The following is an 8,865-nucleotide window of genomic DNA, read 5'->3' as shown; positions in this document are numbered from 1 at the left end:
GAGTTTATAATCAATTGAGAGAGAGGGAGTTGGCAGGTAAACAGATATTTCAGGCAGTGATAAGTGCTAGAAATGAACTAAAGTAGGGCAAGGGGAGAGAGTAGAGGGTTGAAGTTGCTATTTTTAGGTGGGATGGCAAGGGAAGGCCTCTGCTAGGAGAAAATGTCAAGAGAGGCTGAAGAGGGAAGAGATAAGCATGTCTGGGAGGCAGCATCAGGGAGGCAGGCGTTCCAGGCAGAGGGGCAGGAAAGCCCTGAAGCAAATGGCAGCAAGAAGGCTAGTAGGTGATGGAAGTGAAAATGGAGAGAAAGCCCCACAAACAATGCACCGATGTCGTTCCTAATATGAACACTCGATTCTGCATGGACAGAGGGAGCAGGAGAGAGGGAGCCAGCCGTTCACTGGATGGCAGGAGCAGGCACATGGCAAGTGCCACTGGGGCATCCGTAATAATAGTCCTCCCAGCTACTGGTGTCAGTGCACTCACTGTGCTCCAGGTACCAGAGTCATGTCTATACAGTTTGTCATTTATTAGATCTCTAAGATGGCCTTTGCTTTTACGAAGGTAACACGTGCACACAGTTAAACAACAGGGAGAAAAAAGCCTCTAACAAACAGCAGTGGTCCTTCACTCCCCTCCCCCCATTTCGAGTCTTTTTCTCCAGAGGCAACCGCTTTCAACTCTCTTAATCCTTTCTTCTGGCATTGACTGGCACATACTGTTTCCAAATAATATGCACATACGTGACTTCATGCTTTAGTCCTTCTCTATGGACTTTTGGTGTGTTAGGTAATAATTTAGCTCTCTTACCCCCCCTCCCTCTTCTCTTACCAACATTCTTTGGATATTTTGTCTTAGCTGGTCTACTAGAACAAAGTACCTGAGACAGGGTGATTCATAAACAATAGAGATTTATTTCTCACAGTTCTGGAGGCTGGGAAATTCAAGATCAAAGTGCCAGCAGGTTTAGGGGCTGTTCCTCATAGAGGATGCTGTCTAGGTGTCTTCACACGGTGGAGGAGAGAAGGAGCAGAAAAGGGCCTAAGCTAGTTCCCTCCAGCCCTTTTATAAGGCACTAGTCCATTCACAAGGGCCTCATGACTTAATCACTTCTCAAAAGGCGTCACCTCTTCATAACACCACAGTGGCAATAAGTTTCAACGTGAATTTGGAATGGACGCATTCAAGCCATAGTATATACTTAATCATGATTTTAATTCAATTCATAGTCAGTGTTCCTGGGTGCAGTGGCTCACACCTGTAATCCCAGCACTCTGGGAGGCCAAGGTGGGTGGATCACTTGAGGCCAGGAGTTCGAGACCAGCCTGGCCAACACAGCGAAACCCTGTCTCTACAAAAAATACAAAAGTTAGCCGGGCATGGTGGTGGGCGGCTGTAGTCCCAGCTATTCGGGAGGCTGAGGCATGAGCATTGCTTGAACCTGTGAGGTTGAGGTTGCAGTGAGCTGAGATCGTGCTGCTGCACTCTTGCCTGGGTGACAGAATGAGAATGTCTCAAAAAAAAAAAGTCAGTGTTTACATTGCTATGACTGTGCAAATCTTGTTCACTGCCCAGTCAAAATGTGTAACATAATCATTTTCCTCATTTATTTCTGAATTATTTTCCTCAATTATTTCTGAGGTAAATAATTGCCCTTTTTCACTTGCTCAGTTCTAAATACATATCATTACGATTTCTCCAAATTTACTAACACATCTGTCAATCAATGTCTATCAATGATTTGTCCAGTTGCAAACACTTGATCATCTCTATTTTTCCTCCCACAGACTCCTGTCGCAGAGTCCTCACCCTCTCTCAGATTTGGACGGGGTTGCTATTTGGGTGTGGGGGACGTCTACATCCTCTGTCCATGTCAGATATCCTCTTCCCTGGAGCTCACGTTTCTTTTTGGTTGAATCTCTCCATTTGTGGAAGGATATCTTTCAGGAGCTTTGTAAGAAAGGGCATATGGAAGTAAATTTTTTTTTTTAGACGGAGTCTCTCTCTGTCACCCAGGGTGGAGGGCAGTGGCTCAGTCTTGGCTCACTGCAACCTCCACCTCCCGGGTTCAAGCGATTCTTCTGCCTCAGCCTTCCGAGTAGCTGGGACTACATGCACCTGCCACTATGCCTGGCTAATTTTTGTATTTTTAGTAGAGACGTGGTTTCACCATATTGGCCAGGCTGGTCTCAACCTTGTGATCACCTGCCTTGGCCTCCCAAAGTGCTGGGATTACAGGCATAAGCCACTGTGCCTGGCCGGAGGTAAATTTTTTGATTATTTGCAAGTCCAAGTATAAATTTATTCAGATCTCATATTTGATTGAATACTGGACTGAGTATACAATTCTAGATGGAAAATAACTTTACCTCAGAATTTTGAAAATATTTGTGTACGTCTTCTAGCATCTAGAAGAAGGCCTATATTATTCCAATTTCTTTTCTTTTATATATACTGTATTTTTTTCCTCTCTAAAAACTCTTACGATATGCATTCTATTCCTGGTATTCTGAAATTTGAGACTTTTTATCCCTTTTAATCTCTTTTCAAAAGCATGTTAGAAAAGTTTCCTGAAAAGAGATGCAAAGTTTTCTGAAATTCTATGACCATTAAAAAAAAACAAAAACTTCTTTGGGGGAAGGCTAGAATGTTAGTTAGTGGACATAATATCTGAAAGTATCAGAAATTTTTGAAGCTGAATTAAATATTCAATACTTTTGCTTTATTTACATGAGTGGTTCTCAGCCAGGGGTGATTTTGCCACCCAGTGAAATGGGGCAACGCCTGGAGGTATTTTAGGTTGCCTTGACTTTGGGCAGGGAGGGATTGCTACTGGCACCTAGTGGGTAGAGGCCAGGGATGCTGCTCTACATCCTGCAATGCACAGAAGATCCTCACAATGAAGAATGATCAGGCCCAAAATATCAATAGTGTGATTGAGAAACTCTGCTTTAAAGATTTCAAGTTTCTTTATTAGTAGAAATGCCAAAAATTCTGAGTAGATTGGTTTTGTTCTGCATTCATTCATAGGATCTCCGAATACTACACACATACTCATAGAATCTCCAAATATTTCACACATATTTAATTGCATGTCTAGTAAGTGCCAGGCACCATGCCTGCTCTCACAGAACTTAAAGTCTCTTGAAATAAATTGGCTCGCTTTTTATTTTTGGTATATTTAGGGAGTCTATGAAATAGATTATTTTTTCCCTCAATTTTAGGATCATAAAAACAAATTTCTTGGAGGAAAAGACAACCTCTCCGCTTTGGTCTTGTGCTTTCACATCACTGACCCTAGCAAGAGAGTGCTGGAAATGGTGAGGCGGGGAGACACTGTGTTCAACAAGGATAGAGACACCTCTGTGATCTCAGCACTGCAATTCACTGCAGGCTGGAATGCTTGTCGAAGACGCACATTCCTAGGTCCTCAGACAAAAGGAATCAGAATCACCGAGATGTAGCTGAGACTCTGGGTTCCAACAAGCTCCCCAAGTGGTTTTATGTTCACCAACATCTAAGAACCTCTGGCCCAGACCCTGTGCTATTGTGGAAATGGGTGTGAATATTCGGATCCAGGGGTGAAAATGGTGGTAATTAGTGCACACAGCATCTTTAATATTAGGAATAAGATGAAGCATTAACATTGCGTTTAGAGCACTACTCTGTCATCAGACTGCTCGATTCAACCCTTAGCTCCATCATTAATTAGCTGTGTGACACTGAGGAAATGACCTAACCTCTCTGAGTCTCTGTTTCCTCATCTGTAAAGTGGAGATAATAGTATACATAGTTCATAGGGTGTATGCTGGGATTCATGTGAAATACTTTCTACAGTCTGGCACATAATCAGTGCTCAATATTATAGTTATAAAGAGACACAACTCTTGGAATCCTGAGACAGTTCTTGAGATCCAAGACGCTTCCTGATCTAAACTTCAATGATTTCTCCAGCAAAAAACGTCCTCCTCTCCAGACTTAATGCATCCACAGGCTCACATACTGTGCACGGTGTGTGTACATACACATACCCGCTGCCTGTCTTACACATGCACACATGCTTTCTCACACTCACACACACTTTCACACATGTTTTCTCACACACACACTCTCTCACACACACACTCACACAAGTTCTGTCTCACACATACCCCCCTCACACATGTTCTCTCACACTATTCACACTCACACATACACACTCTCACACATGGTCTCTCACAGACACACTCACACCTGTTCTTTCTGTCACATACACACACTCTCTCACACATGTACACACACACACACACCCCTCTACCACTCATAAGGTGGCTGTTCCTCGGGGTCTAGCATCTGTTTGACTTTCTTTGTTCTGGAAAGGCTTCTTGTCAGCACTGTCCTTTCCAAGATCTGCACTGCACTGTGGGCTGGGGCTGTGATAATTAGTCCCTTTCAGATGGCTCAGGCTTAATGATAATGAGTGGGCAGAGCTGCGTGGCTGCAGGCTGGGAGCAGGAGGTGGAGAGGGTATGGCTAACGGCAGAGTCCGAGGCTGTAACCTGGGGTGGCCAGAGCCAGGACACCCCTCTTTCCTCTCTATGCCCTGCGGGGCCAGGTTTGGGGGCACAGTGGAGATGAAGCACCCTCCTGGTGGCAGACCTCACTTGCTTGAGGCCTCAAGGAACGCGGAATGTAACCAGAGCTAAGCACAGGCGCTGAGAGCCCTCTATGGGCTCTTCCAATTACAATGTTGTGATTAGCCACACTTCCTGCTTGGAAAACAGGCAGGCAGATATTTAAAAGGGAAATCCTACTGTGAGGTTTGGATGGGATTTCAAATGAATTTTTTCTGCAAATAAGATTAAAGGCAGAAAGAGGAAGGGATGCTATTCAAAACTTTCCCGAGGGCTAGGGCTTGTTGAGCTATAGAACAAAGGATGCCCAGAGACCCCGGGAGCTCCAGCTCCCTATAACTTCATGATATGCTGGACTTTCCCAAGCGAGTGACTTTAACCATCATTCAGATTGGGTGGGCAGTGGAGACATGGACAAGACCTTAAAATGTTTTTTTTTTTTTTTTGGTACAAGAAGATTCTCTTAAGCAGGTTTGTTGCTGTCAGCAAACAACTGTTGAGCATCTAGCGGGGACACCTCAGGAAATTGTTTGGGTGACTGGGCAAGTTGTGTAATCTCTGTCGTCTTAGTTTCCTCATCAGGAAATTGGGATAACCATAGGACTTATCTCAAAGGATTGTTGTATGATGGGAGTGAATGCTTATAGAGCACTTAAAGCAGAAGCCGGCACACACTCAGCCTTCAGGAAATGTGAGCTCTTGTTCTCCTGAGGAATTCATCAATATTGTAGGTCAAAGAGCTCATAGTCAGGTTTGCCAAGGTCATCGCAAGTCACGGTGAAAGTCTATGGCTTTCTATTACGTGTTCAGGTTTAAAAGAGTGATTGCTTTATATACTCAACATTTTCTGGAAATACAAATGTACGTTTTGAAATTTAGTCCCAAAAGGTAGTTTACAGCACCCTCCATTGTGGTGGTGATGACCCACATGCTGAAAGAAAGCACGTTGTATTTAATACAAAGGCTGCAAAAAACCTGCTTGAACATTAAACTTTACAGAGGAACACATAAAATGCACTGGAGCAAAAATTCCTCAACTCTTCTGCCACCAGCAGATGGGGTTAAGGGTCCCTTAGTCTCTCTTTGGACTTAAGGAAAATGTGGACTTCTGGACAACCTTTGTAAGGACACTACCTTCTGTACTTTTTTTTTTGCCCTAGGACTTTGGGAAAACAGATTCCAATCATACAGAGATATGACCCAGAATATTAAAAAAAAATCTAGTGTTTTGTTCATTCAGAAGTCAAGTGATGACTGTTAGTTGAAAAGTATATTTCTGTTATTAAAGAAGCAAATTAAAATCACAAGAAAACAATGGAATGATCAGCTTGCAAAGTTATTTGCGTTGATTAAAAGCACCAATAAATGTGTCTTGGTTCTATAACTGCTTCATCTGGCACTTGACATGTAATAGATTTTTTTCACAGTATAATATCTCCATTGAAATACAATTATTTTGCAGATTGCTCAACCGAATACTCTTATAAACATACTGTTAGGGGGACTCACCCCTGGTGATCATCAGGGTATCATGACAATGTGCACAATTGATGGACATGAGAGGAATGTGGCAGCCAAGCTCGGAGCAGAGAGGGTGATTTGTTGCAGAGCAATTATTCTAATGCATTTTTAAAAGCGTAAAATAAAGAATCATTTCATTTGCTGAAAAGATATTTTAGGTGTTTCGTTAAAGCAGTGACAGAATATTTTGATTGTCAGGTTTTTTTTTCTTTATAAAGTTAGATAATTACATTTACCAGTTAAAGAATTGCCATTTAAAAATAATATTTTGTCTAAATGTTTAAAGATGTCTATTAAAAATGTATACTGAACATGACAGTGGCCTTTTCATGCTGTAATTCTAGTCAGTGGTCCGAAAACAATTAGGCTGAAAAAATGAACATTTATTCACTGCTAGCTGGAGAGTCAAGAATCTGTAGAGTATATTATGATTTTTAAGATTGTTTTATGTTTGCTCAGATAACATATCTAAGGAAGGTGGCTTATGTGTGCATTTAGTTTCTTCAGTAATCTCTCCAGTGGGCAAAGCCCCCAGTAGTCTGTGTTCCGGGGAACCCATGATCTCATGCATAAGAATGTGGAGGACATCGGGGGATCTTTAATGAAACAGCCAAATGTGACCTATCTATTTAGGCCCCTCGTTCATCTGGCATATACACTGGCATAGCTATGCTAGTTACAATACTGAAATATTTGCTCACCTGTCAGAAGCAAGTCCTTCCCCCAAGGCCCCCGTGTGGCCCCCTCAGGCCACTCCCTGAGACCCTCCAGGTAGCCCCCAACCCAACGGGCAAAAGATGAATGCCTGCCTTGGCAGAGGCTGCCAGCTTGCTCCAGCCTGGAGTTTTTTTTTTAACTTTTAGAACTTTTTATTTTTTCTTTTCTTTTCTTTTCTTTTTTTTTTTTTTTTTTTTGACAGAGTCTCCCACTGTCACCTGGGCTGGAGTGCAATGGCGTGATCTAAGATCACTGCAACCTCCACCTCCTGGGTTCAAGCAATTCTCCTGCCTCAGCCTCTTGAGTAGCCGGGATTACAGGCACCCACCATGCCCAGCTAAATTTTTGCTAAATTTTTGTATTTTTAGTAGACGCAGGGTTTCACCATGTCGGCCTGGCTGGTCTCGAACTCCTGACCTCGTGATCCGCCCACCTTGGTCTCCCAAAGTGCTGGGATTACAGGTGTGAGCCACTGCGCCCGGCCTTTTTTGAACTTTTTCTAAGTAAATAATTACTAAGCTAAGTGATAAATATTTTCCTGGCACTGCCTAACTTCTCTGGAACAATCACTTAGATTTTACAACGCCCTTAATAAAGAATTAATTGAGTACATCTTTTTGACTGGAGTAATTTATTTAGTTAGAATTTTTGAAGAAAGTAATTCTTATTTGTGCTCACAACAAAGTAATTAGTGATCATCATTTTACTTAAAAGAAGTCTTTAGGAAGAGGCTTTTTTAAAGGTATCATTTATGATGGCAGAGCCTATGAGAGGAACCCTTTGTCCAGGACAATAGTCTTTTAGCCTTGTTAGTGCCTTATTCTATATAAATGTGCCTAATTGTTACAGTTGCTAAACAGACCTCATCCTACTGCGTGTGATCATTTAGCTGTGAGGAGACATAATAGCAGTTGCATCTGAAATTTGCAGTAATTTTACATATTCTTCCTGCAGACATTTTTTTTTTCTTGTTGCTAAAGGAGCTGAGGAAGTGCTGCTGTTTTCCCCATTGTCAGGGGCAGCTGTCTCTCTATGCTGAGGCTGTGCACCCACCAACCAGGCAGATGGTGGATGGTGGCTGAGGCATGTCTTCCATGCACACACAGGACCCACTTTGCTGGCTTTGGGAAGCGCAGCTGCCACACTGTTAGGATGGTGACAGCGAGGCGCCGTCTGCATTTCAGACACGGGAGCCCTTGTATAGAGCCATGTGCTCTGAAAGGGTGCTTGGGGTCTTCGGAGCATTGAATAGGCACTTGCATATTTAAACTGCCAGAGCTGTGTGAAAATATGGATTCCTATTAATTAGAATTTTGGATAGGAATCAGGCAGGAGGTGTGTTGCAAGGACTAGGGGAAACCGTTCTGCCAGATCTGCATGCTAATGTATTCCTGATGGGAGAGGCGAGCCCAGGGCCCTGGAGCCTGCTTCACACCACCGGGATTCTAAGACTTGATTCACTCTTCCACCTTCACCTATATGGATCCTTTATGCTACTCAAATCCATTCTGAGCGAGGCTTTGACACAGCACTCCGTTGTCTGGGGGAGGGTTTGACTGTGCGTAAGGTAAAAGACCCTTTCCTGATCCTATATGCTGTGACTTGACCCTCCAAAGAGGGTGGCTTATGGGAAACTAACATAGGATCTCCGGCTATGGCGCTTCATTTCCTTACTGTCAAGTGCAGCCCACGAGGCAGGGCTTTAGCTCTGTTACTCCTGTCATACCCTGTGTTTCGTCCGCTGTCCTCAAAAGTGGGCGTTCAGGCTTCACTTAGTTTTATTAAGATACAATTCACATATTACACAATTCACTCATTTAAAGCCTACAATTCAATGGTTTTTAGTATATTCACAGATTTCACAGATAGGTGCAATTATCACCATAGTCAATTTTAGAACATTTTTATCACGCCCGTCAAAAAGACACCCTATGGTTTTGTCAGCTAATTCTTTACCCTTAAGCTATCATTCCAAATTCCCTGCCCCCTTCCCTCAGCCCTAAGTAATCACAA

At 42.9% G+C, this 8,865-nt stretch overlaps 2 annotated features.

Annotated features, from left to right (window-relative positions):
• Positions 7,466-7,965: an enhancer, noted in NCBI's record as "H3K4me1 hESC enhancer chr2:174611951-174612450 (GRCh37/hg19 assembly coordinates)". NCBI's record gives its function as "activates a minimal SCP1, AML or CMV promoter by ChIP-STARR-seq in primed H9 embryonic stem cells {active_cell/tissue: H9 hESC(primed)}" and the evidence as "EXISTENCE:reporter gene assay evidence [ECO:0000049][PMID:30033119]".
• Positions 7,966-8,467: an enhancer, noted in NCBI's record as "H3K4me1 hESC enhancer chr2:174611449-174611950 (GRCh37/hg19 assembly coordinates)". NCBI's record gives its function as "activates a minimal SCP1, AML or CMV promoter by ChIP-STARR-seq in primed H9 embryonic stem cells {active_cell/tissue: H9 hESC(primed)}" and the evidence as "EXISTENCE:reporter gene assay evidence [ECO:0000049][PMID:30033119]".

This window comes from Homo sapiens, chromosome 2, assembly GCF_000001405.40.
Source record: "Homo sapiens chromosome 2, GRCh38.p14 Primary Assembly".
NCBI lineage: Eukaryota > Metazoa > Chordata > Mammalia > Primates > Hominidae > Homo > Homo sapiens.
The sequence above is the reverse complement of the archived record's forward strand: the minus strand, read 5'-3'. Positions and strand labels throughout refer to the sequence as shown.